Raw genomic sequence first — 17518 nt, forward strand, 5'->3', positions numbered from 1 at the left:
CAGTGGTGCCATCTCGGCTCACTGCAAGCTCCACCTCTCAGGCTCACGCCATTCTCCTGCCTCAGCCTCCCGAGTAGCTGGGACTACAGGCGCCCACCACCACGCCAGGCTAATTTTTTTTTGTATTTTTAGTAGAGATGGGGTTTCACCATGTTAGCCAGGATGGTCTCGACCTCCCGATCTTGGGATCCGCCCACCTCGGCCTCCCAAAGTGCTGGGATTACAGGCGTGAGCCACCGCGCCCGGCCTAATTTATCAATTTTTAGATGATTAGTTCTTTTTGTGTTCCAAGATATACACCTTATCCAAGGCCACAAAGATTTTCTCCTGTGTTCTCTAGAAGTCTTATAGTTTTAAATTTTACATTTATGTCTGTAATCCATTTTCCATTTTGAGTTAAATTTTTTCTAATAAGGGGTATGCATTGAGGTTCATCTTTTTTTTTTTGAGGCGGAGTCTGGCTCTGTCTCCCAGGCTGGAGTGCAGTGGCGCAATCTCAGCTCACTGCAACCCCTCGCCTCCGGGGTTCAAGCAATTCTCCTGCCTCAGCTTCCCTAGTAGCTGGGATTACAGGCACCCACCACTATGCCCAGCTAATTTTTGTATTTTTAGTAGAGACAGGGTTTCACCATATTGGCCAGGCTGGTCTCAAACTGCTGACCTCATGATCTGCCCGCCTCGGCCTCCCAAAGTGCTTGATTACAGGCGTGAGCCACCGTGCCTGGCCGAGGTTCATCTGTTCATCTTTTTCACAGAGATGTCTTTTTTTTTTTTTTTTTGAGACAAAGTCTTGCTCTTGTCCCCCAGGTTGGAGTGCAGTGGCGTGATCTCAGCTCACTGCAACCTCCACCTCCCAGGTTCAAGCGATTCTCCTGCCTTAGTCCCCCGAGTAGCTGGGATTACAGGCGCCTGCCACCAAGCCTGGCTACTTTTGGTATTTTTAGTAGAGACAGGGTTTCACCATGTTGGCCAGGCTGGTCTCAAACCCCTGACCTCAGGTGATCCATCCGCCTTGGCCTCCCAAAGTGCTGGGATTACAGGCGTGAACCACCACTCCTGGCCAGAGCTGTCTTAATTGTTCCAGCACCATTCGTTTAAAAGTCCTTTGGTTTTCTTTTTTCTTCTGTTTTTCATCTTTGTCTCTTTTTTTTTTCTTTCTTTCTTTCTATATTTCCTGGGAGATTTTCTCAAGTACTGTCTGGTATATTTCATTTTCACTTCTACTTTCTTATTTTTAATTTCAGGAACTTTTTTCTTCTTCCTTTACTGTTCCTTTTTTACAGACAATACCCTGTACGGCTTTCATGGTCATAATATCCTCATCATTTGGAGGATATTTTTCTTCTTCTCTCTGCTCAGTCTCTGTTTCATGTGAGGCGTGTTTTATCCATATATTTCAGTGTCTACTTTTTTGTGATGACTGTTTCTCAGATGTCTGTAATCCTTGCTTGGCCACTCATATTTAAGAGTGAGTGACTAAAAAGTTGAGTGGAAGCTGTAAACACATGAGTGGGGCTTGTCTATTCTGACCTTAACTATATATCTTTAGTGGTCTATGTCAGCATCCTGAGAACTTTCCTCCCGGTCTGGCCAGATTTTGCAGAGAGGGATCCTCTAAACTCCTGCCTAGATGGTGGAGGTCTGACTCAGTGTTCTGGAATCTAGGTGGAGGAAAGGGTGAGGGAGGTCTCAGGACCCAGAATACCTGCTTCCACTTAATGCTTCTGTTTTCATTATGGCATCCCCTCCCTTAACTGTGGTCCTTATCCATTTGAGCATTTCTCATGCCTAACCTGGCAGGCATTGTTAACTGAGTAAATGAACTGTGTAGTTTGTTATTTGTTGCAAAGAAACTTTTGATCATTCACTCTCAATATGTAAATATCTATTTAGAAATTGCATACTTTACTGTTTTATTAAATATATTATGTACATTGTAAAGCAAATAAAAAAGTAATAAAGGCTGAGATAAAAATGAAATAATGCTTTCCTGTGCTTGTGTGTGCTGGCTTCATATTTTTATTAGCCAATATCTCAAGGCACAATATACACTTAGAAAAAAAACACATCATTAGTCAACGTAGAGATAAATATGTGTTTCAAGTAGTTCTGAGAGGTTTTTTGTTTTTTTAATTATTATTTTTTAAATTTTTATGTATTTATTTTTTGAGACAGAGTCTCACTCTGTCGCCCAGGCTGGAGTGCAGTGGCGCAATCTCGGCTCACTGCAAGCTCCACCTCCTGGGTTCACGCCATTCTCCTGCCTCAGCTTCCCGAGTAGCTGGGACTACAGGCGCCCACCACCATGCCCAGCTAATTTTTTTGTATTTTTTTGGTAGAGATGAGGTTTCACCGTGTTAGCCAGGATGGTCTCGATCTTCTGACCTCGTGATCCGCCCGCCTCGGCCTCCCAAAGTGCTGGGATTACAGGCATGACCCACAGCACCCGGCCTGTTTTTTTTATTTTTTAGTTCTGAGAGTTTTGACTATTTTAACTAACTTCTTGTTAGGTCAGTTTTGTTGTTGTTGTTGTTGTTGTTTGTTGTTGTTGTTGTTTTTGAAATAGAGTCTTACTTTGTCACCCAGGCTGGAATGCAGTGGTGTGTACATGGCTCACTGCACCCTTGACCTCCCAGGCTCATGCAGTCCTCCCACCTCAGCCTTGCAAGTAGCTGGGACTACAGGTGTGCACCACCACACCTGGCAAATTTTTGTATGTTTTGTAGACATAGGGTTTCACCATGTTGCTCAGGGCAGTCTCAAGTTCCTGAGCTCAAGCTATCACCTGCCTTGGCCTTCCAAAGTGCTGGGATTATAGGCATGAGCCACTGCACCCGGCCATTCAGGTCAGGTTAAATTGTCATTGTTTTAACCTATTAATGTGCCTAAGAGGGTTTGTTAGGAGTAGGTAGCTTTGACATTTTCTTTTTGGCTTGAGTTTGCATCATAGAGTTATCTTTTGGATAGAACAGAAACTCATAATAATGAATCCAGTGATAATAAAAACTCAGGTATGAAATGATTAACTCTTGCTGTTTTTAGCAGGCCCAAACTAGCCATTTTATTAACCTTACAACAACAAATTCCTGCATTTTATGAAACAGAATCTTGAGACCCTATTATTATGACATTATGGTGAGATTAAAGTGTACAGTTCACTGATGGTTGGTGTATTCAGAAGTGTGTAGCTTATATCACAGTCAATTTTAGAACATTTTCATCACCCCAAAAGGAAACTCTGTACACATTAGCAGTTACTCCCTGTTTCCCTACAAACTCCCCAGCTCTAGGCAATCACTAATCTACTTTCTGTCTCTTTAGATTTGCCTCTTTTAAACATTTCATATAAATGGGAACATACGGTATGTGATCCTTTGTGACTGGCTCCTTTTATTTAGTATAATGAACTAAGGTTCATTAGTTGTAGCATGTATCAGTACTTTATTCCTTATTGTTGCCAAATAATATTCCATTGTGTGGATATACCACATTTTATTTATCCACTTATCAATTTCTGGACATTTGGATTATTTCTACTTTTTAGCTACTATGAATAATACTGCTTTTGATTAATGTACAAGTTTTTGTGTGGACATATAGTTTCAATACTCGGGTATATATCTAGAAGTGGGACTGCTGGATTATATAGTAATTCTGTATTTAACTTTTGAGAAAGTGCCAGGATGTTTTCCAAAGCAGCTGCATCATTAATCTTTAAGATTAATATTGTCTATGAAATAATATGTCTTTTTTTATTTTTTATTTTTTGGAGACAAGAGTCTCGCACTGTCTCCCAGGCTGGAGTGCAGTGGCACCATCTCGGCTCACTGCAACCTCTGCCTCCCGGGTTTAAGCGATTCTCATGCCTCAGCTTCCTAAGTAGGTGGGATTACAAGCACGTGCCACCATGCCCAGCCAATTTTTCATATTTCAGTAGAGATGGGGTTTCATCATGTTGCCCACAGTGCTCTCGAACTCCTGAGCTCAGGCAATCCATCCATCTCGGCCTCCCAAAGTACTAGGATTACAGGCGTGAGCCATCACATCTGGCCATATGTATATATATGTGTGTGTGTGTGTGTGTATGTATATATGTGTGTGTGTGTATATATGTGTGTATTTTTTTTAATAGAGATGGGGTCTCATTCTGTCACCCAGGCTGGAATGCAGTGGCAAGATCATAGCACACTGTAACCTGGAACTCCTGGGCTCAAGCAATCCTCCCACCTCAGCCTCCCTGGTAGCTGGGACTATGGGCACATACCACCATGCCCAGCTAATATATTTATTTATTTTATTTTAAAATTTATTTAAATTTATTATTTATTTATGTATTTATTTTTATTTATTTATTTATTTTGAGACGGAGTCTCACTCTGCTGCCAAGGCTGGAGTGCAGTGGCACCATGTCGGCTCACTGCAACCTCTGTCTCCTGGGTTCAAGTAATTCTCCTGCCTCAGCCTCCTGAGTAGCTGGGATTACAGGCACCCACCACCATGCCCAGCTAGTTTTTATATTTTTAGTAGAGACAGGTTTTCACCATGTTGGCCAGTCTGGTCTCGAACTCCTGACCTCAGGTGATCCACCTGCCTCGGCCTCCCAAAGTGCTGGGATTACAGGCGTGAGCCACCACACCCGGTCTATTTATTTATTTATTTTTAAGACAGAGTCTCACTCTGTTGCCCAAGCTGGAGTGCAATGGTGTGATCTTGGCTCACTGCAACCTCCAACTCCCAGGTTCAAGTGATTCTCCTGCCTCAGCCTCCTGCGCCACCACACCTGGCTAATTTTTTTTATATTTTTTTAGTAGAGACAGGGTTTTACCATGTTGGTCAGGCTGGTCTCGAACTCCTGACCTCAGGTGATCAGCCTGCCTCAGCCTCCCAAAGCTCTGGGATTACAGGAATGAGCCACCATGCCCAGCCTATTTATTTATTTTTTAGGAGATGGGGTCTCACTATGTTACCCAGGCTTGTCTCGAACTCCATGAGTTCCAAGGATCCTCCCTCCTCGGCCTCCAAAAGTGCTGGGATTCAAGTCACAAGCCACCATGCCCTGTCAATATTTTTATTTTTAATCTTTATAGAGGTGGAGTCTCACTATGTTGCCCAGGCTTGTCTCAAACTCCTGGCCTCAAGGGAGCCTCCCATTTCAGCCTCCCAAAGTGCTGGGATTACAGGTGTGAGCCACTGTGCCCAGCTGTTTTTTTTTTTTTAAAGTTCTAGGGTGCATGTGCAGGATGTGCATGTTTGTTACATAGGTAAACATGTACCATGGTGGTTTGCTGCACCTATCAACCCATCACCTAAGTATTAAGCCCCACATGTATTAGCTCTTTTTCCTAATGCTGTCCCCCACTGCCCTCCCCCATTAGTGTATTCTTTATCCTTCAGAATTAGTGAAGGATTTTTACTGCTTTATAATGATTTCTTTTTTTTTTTGTTTGTTTTTCAGTCGGCTTTCTCCAGTTGAATGGTTTCCTTTTTGTTAAGTTGCTTTTTTCTAATCTCTTTAATGTGTTCCCTTTCTTTTTCCTCTTTCCCAACACCAAAGCAGAAAGGGACCAGAAACTTCTTGTCCATTTCCATGAATAGAAATGGGAGGCTGGGCGCGGTGGCTTATGCCTGTAATCCCAGCACTTCGGGAGGCCGAGGCGGGCAGATCACGAGGTCAGGAGATCGAGACCATCCTGGCTAACACGGTGAAACCCCGTCTCTACTAAAAATATAAAAAGTTAGTCGGGCATGGTGGCAGGCGCCTGTAGTCCCAGCTACTCCGGAGGCTGAGGCAGGAGAATGGCGTGAACCTGGGAGGCAGAGCTTGCAGTGAGCCAAGATCACGCCACTGCACTTCAGCCTGGGCGACAGAGCGAGACTCCATCTCAAAAAACAAAACAAACAAACAAACAAAAAGAAATGGGGCTCCTGGCTGGGTGCAGTGGCTTACGCCTGTAATCCCAGCACTTTGGGAGGCCGAGGCGGGTGGATCACGAGGTCGAGAGTTCGAGACCAGCCTGACCAACATAGTGAAACCCCGTCTCTACTAAAAATTCAAAAATTAGCTGTGCGTAGTTGCACACGCCTGTAATCCCAGCTACTTGGGAGGCTGGGGTAGGAGAATTGCTTGAACCCAGGAGGCGGAGGTTGCAGTGAGCCAAGATCGTACCACTGCATTCTAGCCTGGGCGACAGGGCAAGACTCCGTCTCAAAAAAAAAAAAAAAAAAAAAGAGAAATAGAAATGGGGCTCCTCCATTCTCAACAAACCACCAATTAAAACATTTTTTTGTTCTCTCCTCTCTACCCTCCTTCCCCTTTCGCCTGTTCTTGGACTTAGAGGGACAACAGAAATGCGGCCTAATGCGTAGTTCACACTTATAATTCTAGCACTTTGGGAGGCTGAGGCAGGAGGATCGCTTGAGCCCAGGAGCTCAAGACCAGCCTGAGCAACACAGTAAGATCCCAACTCTACAATAAAAGATTAGCTGGGCAGGCTGGGCGCAGTGGCTCATGCCTGTAATCCCAGCACTTTAGGAGGCCAAGGTGGGCGGATCATGAGGTCAAGAGATTGAGACCATCCTGGCCAATGTGGTGAAACCCTGTCTCTATTAAAAATACAAAAATTAGCTGGGCATGGTGGTGCATGCCTGTAGTCTCAGCTACTTGGGAGGCTGAAGCAGGAGAATCGTTTGAACCCAGGAGGCGGAGGTTGCAGTGATCTGAGATAACACCACTGCACTCCATCCTGGCAACAGAGCAAGACTCCGCCTCAAAAAAAAAAAATTAGCTGGACATGGTGGTGAGTGCCTGTAGTCTCAGCTACTTGGGAGGCTAAGGCAGGAGGATTGCCTGAGCCTTAGGAGGTTGAGGCTTCAATGAGCCATGATCATGCCACTGCACCACTCCAGCCTGGCCAACAGAGTGAGACCTCGTCTGCAGAAAAAAAAGAAAGAACCATTAGGTTGTGATTTTCATTTTCTTTTTACTAGATGATGTCTTAGGCCCTGCTTGATATTTTATGATTAGGGTTGGCTTTAGCTTGAAAGGTTACTTACTCACGCCAGACTTTCCATCTATCTAATCCCTGTGCTGGGGTCCAAGACTTACAGATGCTTTCTGACCTTTAAAAAAGTCTTTTTTGGCCAGGTGCGGTGGCTCATGCCTGTAATCCCAGCACTTTGGGAGGCCGAGGCAGGGAGATCACGAGGTCAGGAGATTGAGAACATCCTGGCTAACATGATGAAACCCTGCCTCTACTAAAAATACAAAAAAATTAGCTGGGGGTGGTAGCGGACGCCTGTAGTCCCAGCTACTCCGGAGGCTGAGGCAGGAGAATGGCATGAACCCGGGAGGCGGAGCTTACAGTGAGCTGAGATCAGGCCACTGCACTCCAGCCTGGGCAACAGAGCGAGACTCTGTCTCAAAAAAAAAAAAAAGGCTTTTTTGTTTTGTTTTGTTTTTAATAAAAATGTACGACTAGAAAGGCCGGGCGTGGCAGCTCATATCTGTAATCCCAGCACTTTGGGAGGCTGAGGCAGGCGGATCACGAGGTCAGGAGATCAAGACCATCCTGGCTAACACCGTGAAACCCCATCTCTTAAAAAAAAAGAAAATACAAAAAATTAGCCGGGCGTGGTGGCGGGCGCCTGTAGTCTCAGCTGCTCGGGAGGCTGAGGCAGTAGAATGGCGTGAACCCGGAAGGCAGAGCTTGCAGTGAGCTGAGATCGCGCCCCTACACTCCAGTCCAGGTGACAGAGCAAGACTCTGTCTCAAAAAACAAACAAACAAAAAATTTACGACTAGAGCACTTACTTTGCTCTGTACTACATCCAAAGGCCAAAAATAGAAATATGCTACTCTGGGCACATTTCCTGTGGGGTAGCCCTGCTCCTCAAGGAGCAGTAGAAAACGAAATAGGCCCTGTCAGGAAGGTATTTGCATTCTAATAGAGGAGATAAGACCTGCTAGGATATCCCTAATATACAGTATTTGATCAAAGTCTTAGTAATTATTCTTTGAAATGTCTCTTTCCTTTCTATTTCCACTTCAGCCCAGTGGGTATTTTAATTACACAGTGTGCCACAATGCTTCAGGCTGTTCCCAACTACAGTATCAGACACCAGCAAAAGGTGACTTGAATGTGAGGCTGCACATCAGCATACTGTGGTCTTACGGCTCTAACGTATCCTGCAGTATGACTGATTCCTACCCACAGATGCTTTTCTTTTCTTTTCTTTTCTTTTTTTTTTTGTGAGACGGAGTTTCACTCTGTTGCCAGGCTGGGGTGTAGTGGCGTGATCTTGGCTCACTGCAACCTCCGCCTCCTGGGTTCAAGCGATTCTCCTGCCTCAGCCTCCCAAGTAGCTGGCACTACAGGCATGCACCGCCACGCCCAGCTAATTTTTGTATTTTTGGTAGAGACGGGGTTTCACCATGTTGGCCAGGATGGTCTCGATCTCTTGACCTCGTGATCTGCCTGCCTGAGCCTCCCAAAGTGTTGGGATTACAGGCGCGAGCCACCGCACCTGGCTTTACAGATGCTTTTCATCACAGTCCTCCCTTCCCAGTGTTCTCCAAAGTATGACTGCATTTTTCAAAATCTCTTTAAATTTCCTCTTGTTTGAAATATGATTTGGAATGCAGCGATTCCCCCCCACACACAAAAGAAATATGAGAGAATGACAACTCTAATGATATTCTACAAAGAGAGAAAGTTTATAATCAGGGCATTAAGCAAACTCACAAATTACAATTCTCTCACAGAATTTTAAGTAGAAGGTACAGATTTGGAGCATTTTTTTCCACCGATGTATTTACGGGAAATTTTGTTTATTCTCATCAGACATTTAGTAAACGGAACAACCCAATGAATTGGTCCTAATGAATATACCTTGAGAATGGCTATTTTATCCCCAGCTTCATTAGGGAGGCTCTGTTGATTCCAAATCTTTTTAAGTGCTTTTCCTGACACTTTCCCCCTCCCCCATATTCTCCATTTAGTTGAGCAACTTGCATCTTAAGGAAGAGAAAATCAAACCAGATACCAATGGTAAGTAACTAATAGCTAGTTTGAAAACAAATGTGATTTCCTTCAGTATTTTTGTTTTGGCATAACAACTGTCTGGAAAAAAATTTGTATTTGTACCAGGCAGGGCATTGGCAGATACTGGTACCATTTGATTTGTAAATCAACAAACTGGATTGTATGACCAAAGTGTTTTTATTTATTTTTTTGTTTCTGTTTACTTTTTAAGAGACAGGGTCTTGCTCTGTTGCCCAGGCTGGAGTGCAGTGGTTCAATCATGGTTCACTGGAGCCTCAACCTCCCAGACTCAAGTGATCCTCCACCTCAGCCTCCTGAGTAGCTGGGACTACAGGCACAACCCACTACGCCCAACTAATTTTTATTTTTTATTTTTTATTTTTTTGAGACAGAGTCTCGCTCTGTTGCCCAGGCTGGAGTGCAGTGGCTCGATCTCGGCTCACTGTAAGCTCCACCTCCCGGCTTCACACCATTCTCCTGCCTCAGCCTCCCGGGTAGCTGGGACTACAGGCACCTGCCACCACGCCTGGCTAATGTTTTGTATTTTTAGTAGAGATGGGGTTTCACTGTGTTAGCCAGGATGGTCTCAATCTCCTGACCTCATGATCCACCGGCCTTGGCCTCCCAAAGTGCTGGGATTATAGGTGTGAGCCACTGTGCCCAGGTATTTTTGTTTTTTTATAGAGATGAGGACTCCCTGTGTTGCCCAGGTTGGTTTCTAACTCCTAGGCTCAAGCAGTCCTCCCGCCTCAGCCTCCCAAAGTGCTGGGATTACAGGAGTGAGATATTACACCTGGTTTCAAAGTGTTTTTAATACAAGAATGAGGATTGCACACTGATAGCAAGGGTGTGGGGGGAACAAAGAATGAGGCTACTTAAGTGGGACTAATTACTAACCATCGGACTACATTGACAAAGACTAATTTTTTTCTTAATGTTCTCAATTTGGGATGAGATAGACAAAGTATGAGCAATCTGACAGTTTACCTATCCTAATTATTCTGAAATCATATTTATCCAAAGTTAAGATTTCCATTAAATTATTGTTGATGTACTTAATATTACAGGAAGGAAATGTAACATTTGCCTTTCTCAAAATTCACTTAAATCTTTTTTGTATGATTTTATATAACCACAGTATCATTCGACTATAAATTTATATTAATCAATTTATAGGCCGGGTGTGGTGGCTCACACCTGTAATCCCAGCACTTTGGGAAGCCAAGGCTGGCGGATAACCTGAGGTCAGGAGTTTGAAACCAGCCTGACTAACATGGTGAAACCCCATCTCTACTAAAAATACAAACATTTGCCAGGTGTGGTGGTGCACCCCTGTAATCCCAGCTACTCAGGATACTGAAACAGTGGAATCTCTTGAACCTGGGAGGCAGAGGTTGCAGTGAGCTGAGATCGCACCACTGCACTCCAGGCTGGGTAAGAGTGAGACTGCATCTCAAAAAAAGAAAAAAAAAATTTATATGCATGAATTTTTTTTGTTGGTCTTACTGCTCATTTGTTATATACATGAATTTTAATGGCATTATTGTGTTCACCTATTGATAAAATACGATTTGCATAGATATTCCTCTGTTGAGCATCAAGGTGGTTTCTGATCACTAATTGCTCTAATCTTTCTATAATATTTAAGAAGTATTGATTCAATGAGGGAAATAACAGGTTTTGAGGTACGGAGAGGAGACCTAGAATAGGAAAGAATATGAGCAACAGAGGCCGGGCGCGGTAGCTCACGCCTGTAATCCCAGCACTTTGGGAGGCCAAGGCAGGCGGATCACGAGGTCAAGAGATCAAGACCAGCCTGGCTAACATGGTGAAACCCTGTCTCTACTAAAAATACAAAAAAAATTAGCTGGGCGTGGTGGCGGGTGCCTGTAATCCCAGCTACTCGGGAGGCTGAGGCAAGAGAATGGCGTGAACCTGGGAGGCAGAGCTTGTAGTGAGTTGAGATCGCACCACTGCACTCCAGCCTGGGCGACAGAGCGAGACTCCATCTCAAAAATAAATAAATAATAAAATAAATATCTATCTATATATATATATATGTGAGCAACAGTGTTTTACACCTTTGTTTATTTAGGGACAATAAAATGTTTTTATCAGCGGCTCGGTTTCCTCATTTATTTTTTGCTCCCCAGGCCTTTACAAAAACTTCTAGTGTCATAGAATTTGAATTGTCTCAACTGTTGGGTATGGGATGCGATTTTGAATGATGGCCACTTTGTGTCTATAAAGGTGCTGTTGTCAAGACCAATGCCAATGCAGAGAAGACAGATGAAGAAGAGAAAGGTAACACAGCCGTGGAGCTTTATATAATAACAAGCTTCTACATTCTAAGAAAGTGGATTGTTATGAGGCTTCATTTTTATACCCAGTTTGGCTTGACTTTAATAGGCGATACAGTGCTAGCATAAAGGTTCAATATAGGGGCCGGGCACGGTGGCTTACACCTGTAATCCCAGCACTTTGGGAGGCCGAGGTGGGCAGATCACGAGGTCAGGAGATCGAGACCATCCTGGCTAACACGGTGAAAACCCGTCTCCACTAAAAATACAAAAAAAAAAAAAAAAATTAGCCGGGCATGGTGGCAGACGCCTGTAGTCCCAGCTACTTGGGATGCTGAGGCAGAAGAATGGCATGAACCCGGGAAGCAGAGCTTGCCATGAGCCGAGATCGAGCCACTGCACTCTAGCCTGGGCGAAAGAGCGAGACTCTGTCTCAAAAAAAAAAAAAAAAAAAAGTTCAATATAAATAGTCAGTAGGTGAAGGAGTTCTAATGGTTTACGTTTAGAGAAATTTTACATTTAACAACTGAACAGTTGAATAGGGCATTATAAAAAATTTTCAGTTGCATCTCTATTGTCCAGTAAAATTAAGCTTAATGTTATTTTGACACATTTGACATGGATGACGAGACCAACTTGTCCAATATTAAGGTACAGACTTTGTTAATTCCTGTTTTTTTTTTTATTGTTGTGATTGCTACATTAATTACTTTAGGTTTATATATAGTACAAATTGGGGAGTAAATATGTGGGTCTGGATAGGAGGAATAGATAACTGCAGGAAAAGAGGGCTGTTAGAATAGAGTCTGGAAAAGAATATGAGGCCTAAATGGGTGATGTATCATAACTTTTTTCTTTAATAAAACTATTTTAATTTATAAGTCAAAACTATGACGTACCTTGAATTTGAATGTTCAGTACATTATTATTTAAAATACAAATGGCAGTTGAATTAGAGTAAACGCCTGGTAGGTTTCAAGGACTTTTTAAAATTCTTTGCTTTCTTTTTCCTGACAGAGGACAGAGCTGCCCAGTCCTTACTCAACAAGCTGATCAGAAGCAACCTTGTTGATAACACAAACCAAGTGGAAGTCCTGCAGCGGGATCCAAACTCCCCTCTGTACTCGGTGAAGTCTTTTGAAGAGCTTCGGCTGTGAGTATTTATTCACCTTCTGACTCTTCCCCTTTGCACTGAAATAGAGATCCTAGGTCTGTTATAGATATCTTTTGACCACAACAGAGCAGTTTTAGCTAACCAAGTTTTTTTTTTTTTTTCGAGACAGAGTCTCACTCTGTTGCCCAGGCTGGAGTGCAGTAGCGCGATCTCGGCTCACTGCAACCTCCGCCTCCTGGGTTCGAGTGATTCTCCTGCCTCAGCCTCCCAAGTAGCTGAGATTACAGGTGCACACCACCACGCCTGGCTACTTTTTGTATTTGTAGTAGAGATGGGGTTTCACTATGTTGGCCAGGCTGATCTTGATCTCCTGAACTCATGATCCACTTGCCTCGGCCTCCCAAAGCGCTGAGATTACAGGCATGAGCCACCGCACCCAGCTGCTAACCAAGTTTTATAAAAGAATTTAGCTGGGTGCCGTAGTGCACACCTGTAATCCCAGCACTTTTGGAGGCCAAGGTGAGAGGATCACTTGAGGCCAGGAGTTGCAGACCAGCCTGGGCAACATAGCGAGACCAGACTCCATCTAAAAAATATACATAAATACTGTAGATGCTTTGGGATATTTAGTAAAATTTCCAGATGATGGATAAAAGCTTTAGCTGTACTAACATGTATTCAGTTCACCACAGCTCAATTATTGTTGATTACAAACTATGTGTAGGCCAGGCATAGTGGCTCATGCCTGTAATCCCAGCACTTTGAGAGGCTAAGGCCGGCAGACCACTTGAGGTCAGGAGTTCAAGACCAGCGTGGCCAACATGGTGAAACCCTGTCTCTACTGAAAATACAAAAATTAGTCCAGGCACGGTGGCTCACGCCTGTAATCCCAGGACTTTGGGAGGCTGAGGCAGGTAGATCACGAGGTCCAGAGATTGAGATCATCCTGGCTAACATGGTGAAACCCCATCTCTACTAAAAATACAAAAAAAATTAGCAGGGCATGTTGGCGGGTGCCTGTAGTACCAGGTACTCAGGAGGTTGAGGTAGGAGAATGGCGTGAACCTGGGAGACGGAGGTTGCAGTGAGCCGAGATCGCGCCACTGCACTCCAGCCTGGGTGACAGAGCGAGACTCTGTCTCAAAAAAAAAAAAAAAAAAAAAAAATTAGCGGGGCATGGTGCCATGTACCTGTAATCCCAGCTATTCGCGAGGCTGAGGCACGAGAATTGCTTGAACCCGGAAGGTGGATGTTGCAGTGAGCCGAGACTGCACCTTTGCACTGCAGCCTGGGCAATAGATCGAGACTCTGCTCAAAAACAAACAAACAAAAAACTATGTGTAAACAGTAAAAGAGAAAAATCCTCCAGATATTTTGCTGCTTTCCTCAACCAAAGAGACTGTGACTTTCATCTTTAACTGTTTTTCTAGGAAACCACAGCTTCTCCAAGGAGTCTATGCCATGGGTTTCAATCGTCCATCCAAGATACAAGAGAACGCATTGCCACTGATGCTTGCTGAGCCGTATGTGTCCTATTACAACTCCATTTCATTTTAGATTTTCTATTTTTGAAAACTATTATTATTTTCACAGGCCAGCAAGGTGGCTTATGCCTATAATCCCAGCAACCTGAGAGGCAAGGCAGGAGGATCGTTTCAGGCCAGGAGTTCAAGACCAGCCTGGGCGATGTAGCAAGACCCTGTCTCAACAAAAAAAAAAACGTTATAAACTTGGCCAGGCATGGTGGCATGCAGCTGTAGTCCCAGCTACTCAGGAGGCTGAGGCAGGAGGATCACTTGAGCCCAGGAGTTTGAGGTTGCAGTGAACCATGATCATACCATTGTACTCCATTCTGGGCAACAAAGAAAGACCCTGTCTCGAAAGAGAAAAAGAGGAGGCTGAGGCACAAGATTTGCTTGAACCCGGGAGGCAGAGGTTGCAGTGAGCCGAGATCATGTCACTGCACTCCAGCCTGGGTGACAGAGCGAGACTTTGTCTCAAAAAAAAAAAAAAAAAAGTCAAGGGGGCCAGGTGCAGTGGCTCATGCCTGTAATCCCAACACTTTGGGAGGCCAAGGCAGGAGGATCTCTTGAGGTCAAGTGTTCGAGACCAGCCTGGCCAACATGATGAAACCCGACTCTACTAAAAAAATACAAAAGTTAGCCAGGTGTCATGGTGTGCTCCTGTAGTCCCAGCTACTCGGGAAGCTGAGGCACGAGAATCGCTTGAACCCCGGAGGTGGAGGCTACAGGGAGCTGAGATCACACCAGTGCACTCCAGCCTGGGCAACAGAGTGAGACTCCATCTCAAAAATGCAAAAAAAAAAAAGAAAAGAAAAAAAATCATCTGTAATCTCCCTCTCCCCACATTATTAACATTTTGGAGTGGAGACTTCTAGACTTTTCTCTATGTAAACATATAACTTTTAAAAAAGTTGACATATATGACCGGGGTGGTGGCTCATGCCTATAATCCCAGCACTTTGGGAGGCCGAGGCAGGTGGATCACCTGACGTCAGGAGTTTGAGACCAGGCTGACCAACATGGCTAAACCCTGTCTCTACTAAAAATACAAAAAAAAAATTAGCTGGTGTGGTGGCAGGCGCCTGTAAACCCAGCTACTTGGGAGGCTGAGGCAGGAGAATCGGTTGAACCTGGGAGGCAGGGGTTACAGTGAGCTGAGATCATGCCATTGCACTCCAGCCTGGGCAACAAAAGCAAAACTCCATCTCAAAAAAAAAAAAAAAAGTTGACATATGGCCGGGAGCAGTGGCTCATGCCTGTAATCCCAGCACTTTGGGAGGCCTAGCCAGGTGGATCACAAGCTCCGGAGATCGAGACCATCCTGGCTAACACGGTGAAACCCCATCTCTACTAAAAATACAAAAAATTAGCTGGGCGTGGTGGTGGGCGCCTGTGGTCCCAGCTACATGGGAGGCTGAGGCAGGAGAATGGCATGAACCTGGGAGGCGGAGCTTGCAGTGAGCCGAGATCACGCCACTGCACTCCAGCCTGGGCAACAGAGCGAGACTCCATCTCAAACAAACAAACAAAAAAAGGTGACATATAAATAATGTTTTACATGCTGTGTTTTTTAATTATATGATCATCTTCCTATGTTGGTAAATATAAGTTTATATCGTATATGCACCATGATTTCATTGTATTGATATATAAAAGCTATTGTGTCAAATATAATAGAAGCCAAACAGCTCTAGGAGACCTGAATAATACAGTTACTAAGGTGGTTTCCTGGTGCAGGGCATCTCCCACTTTCATAGGCATACAAATCTCATAGACATTTATTAAAATGCAGGGTCTGAATTTAGTAGGTCTAAGTGGGGACTGAGTGTCAACATTTCTAATAAGCTTGCAGGTGATGCTGATGCTGCTGGTTTCAGATCACATTCTGAGTACAAGATTCTAGAGCATGATGGAATTTTAATACAGATTGATCCTATATTTTATATGATTATATACAATTCTGCATATAATGCTAAATTCTGAATCTCTTTTTTTTTTTTGTCTAAAAATAGATATTTTAGGGCAAGTGTGGTGGCTCATGCCTGTAATCCCAATACTTTGAGAGGCCGAGGCAGGCAGATCGCTTGAGCCCAGGAGTTCGAGACCAGCCTGGGCAACATGGTGAGACCCTGTCTCTACTATAAATATAAAAAAGTAGCCAAGTATGGTGGCATGTGCCTGTAGTCCTAGCTACTAGGGAGGCTGAAGTAGGAGGATAACCTGAGCCCAGAAGATTGAGGCTACAGTGAGCAAAGATTGTGCCACTGCCCTCCAGCCTGAGCAAGAGTGAGACCCTGTCTCAAAAAATCATAAATAAAAATAAAAATAGATATTTTAGGTCTGTACTTTCTCAAAGTTTTTTGTTCTGTGTCATAACAGTGACATTTTCTCCAGATGGATAGTGTCTTTTTTTAAGCTTGGCACTTTGAGCATGCTTAGGGTAAATAAATGGAGTATTTATTACATGGTTTCATACTGATTGATCATTTATATTTGTGGATCTAATATTTTTGTAGATGCTAACTTTTTTTTTTTCTGGGAGATAAGGTCTCACTCTGTCACCTAGGCAGGAGTACAGCAGTGTAGTCATAGCTCACTGCACCCTGAGCACCTGGACATAAGCAATCCTCCTGCCTCAGCCTCCCAGGTAGCTAGGACTACAGGCACGTGCTGCCATGCCTGGCTAAGTTTCTTTATTTAATAGAGATGGGGTCTTGCTATGTTGCCCAGACTGGTCTTAATCTCGTGGCCTCAAGCAATCCTCCCACCTTGGCCTCCCCCAGTTTTTTTTTTTTTTTTTTGAGACAGGGTCTCACTCTGTTATCCAGGCTAGGTGCACTGGCACCATCTTGGCTCACTGCAACCTCTGCCTCCTGGGCGTAAGCAATCCTCCCACCTCGGCCTCCCACCCAAGTAGCGGGGGCCACAGGTGCAAGCCACCATGCCTGGCTAATTTTTATACAATTTTTTTTTTTTTGAGACAGAGTCTCGCTCTGTAGCCCAGGCTGGAGTGCAGTGGCGTGATCTTGGCTCACTGTAACCACCACCTCCCAGGTCCTGGATCAAGTAATTCTCCTGCCTCAGCCTCCGGAGTAGCTGGGATTACAGGCACGCTCCACCATGCCCAGCTAATTTTTTTTTTGTATTTTTAGTAGAGATGGGGTTTCACCATGTTGGCCAGGCTGGTCTTGAACTCCTGACCTCGTGATCCAGCCGCCTTGGCCTCCCAAAGTGCTGAGATTACAGGCGTGAGCCATCGTGCCCGGCCTAATTTTTATATTTTTATCAGAGACAGAGTTGTGCTATGTTGCCCAGGCTGGTCTCAAACCCCCCAAAGTGTTGGGATTACAGGTATGAGGCACCACACTAGGCTTTTTTTTTTTTTTTTTTTGAGACGGAGTTTCGCTCTTGTTGCCCAGGCTGGAGTGCAATGGCGCGATCTCGGTTCACCGCAATCTCTGCCTTCCAGGTTCAAGCGATTCTCCTGCCTCCACCTCCCAAGTAGCTGGGATTACAGGCATGTGCCACCATGCCTGGCTA

The 17518-nt window shown here is 44.3% G+C and overlaps 1 protein-coding gene and 1 long non-coding RNA gene across 9 annotated transcripts in view; one reads left to right on the forward strand and one right to left on the reverse strand.

The window, feature by feature from the left end:
- Window positions 1–17518, forward strand: part of DDX19B (DEAD-box helicase 19B) — a 45539-nt gene that overhangs the window by 13844 nt on the left and 14177 nt on the right. For 2 of the 8 annotated variants that reach the window (NM_001363938.1, NM_007242.7), the window contains exons 2-5: window positions 8999–9047; window positions 11292–11345; window positions 12359–12494; window positions 13886–13978. In NM_001363938.1, coding sequence (NP_001350867.1) covers window positions 8999–9047; window positions 11292–11345; window positions 12359–12494; window positions 13886–13978 — 332 coding nt within the window. The remainder of the gene's footprint in view (window positions 1–8998; window positions 9048–11291; window positions 11346–12358; window positions 12495–13885; window positions 13979–17518) is intronic. The other 6 variants (NM_001257172.2, NM_001014451.3, NM_001257174.2 and 3 more) reach the window with 4 other exon arrangements.
- DDX19A-DT (DDX19A divergent transcript) overlaps window positions 12030–17518 on the reverse strand; it is a 31108-nt gene continuing 25619 nt past the window's right edge. The window contains exons 4-5 of the long non-coding RNA NR_039997.1: window positions 13646–13763; window positions 12030–12532 (exon numbers count right to left, since the gene is read on the reverse strand). This is a non-coding gene — a long non-coding RNA (DDX19A divergent transcript). The remainder of the gene's footprint in view (window positions 12533–13645; window positions 13764–17518) is intronic.

The sequence above is a fragment of the Homo sapiens genome, chromosome 16, assembly GCF_000001405.40.
Source record: "Homo sapiens chromosome 16, GRCh38.p14 Primary Assembly".
In the NCBI taxonomy this organism is placed as follows: Eukaryota; Metazoa; Chordata; class Mammalia; order Primates; family Hominidae; genus Homo; species Homo sapiens.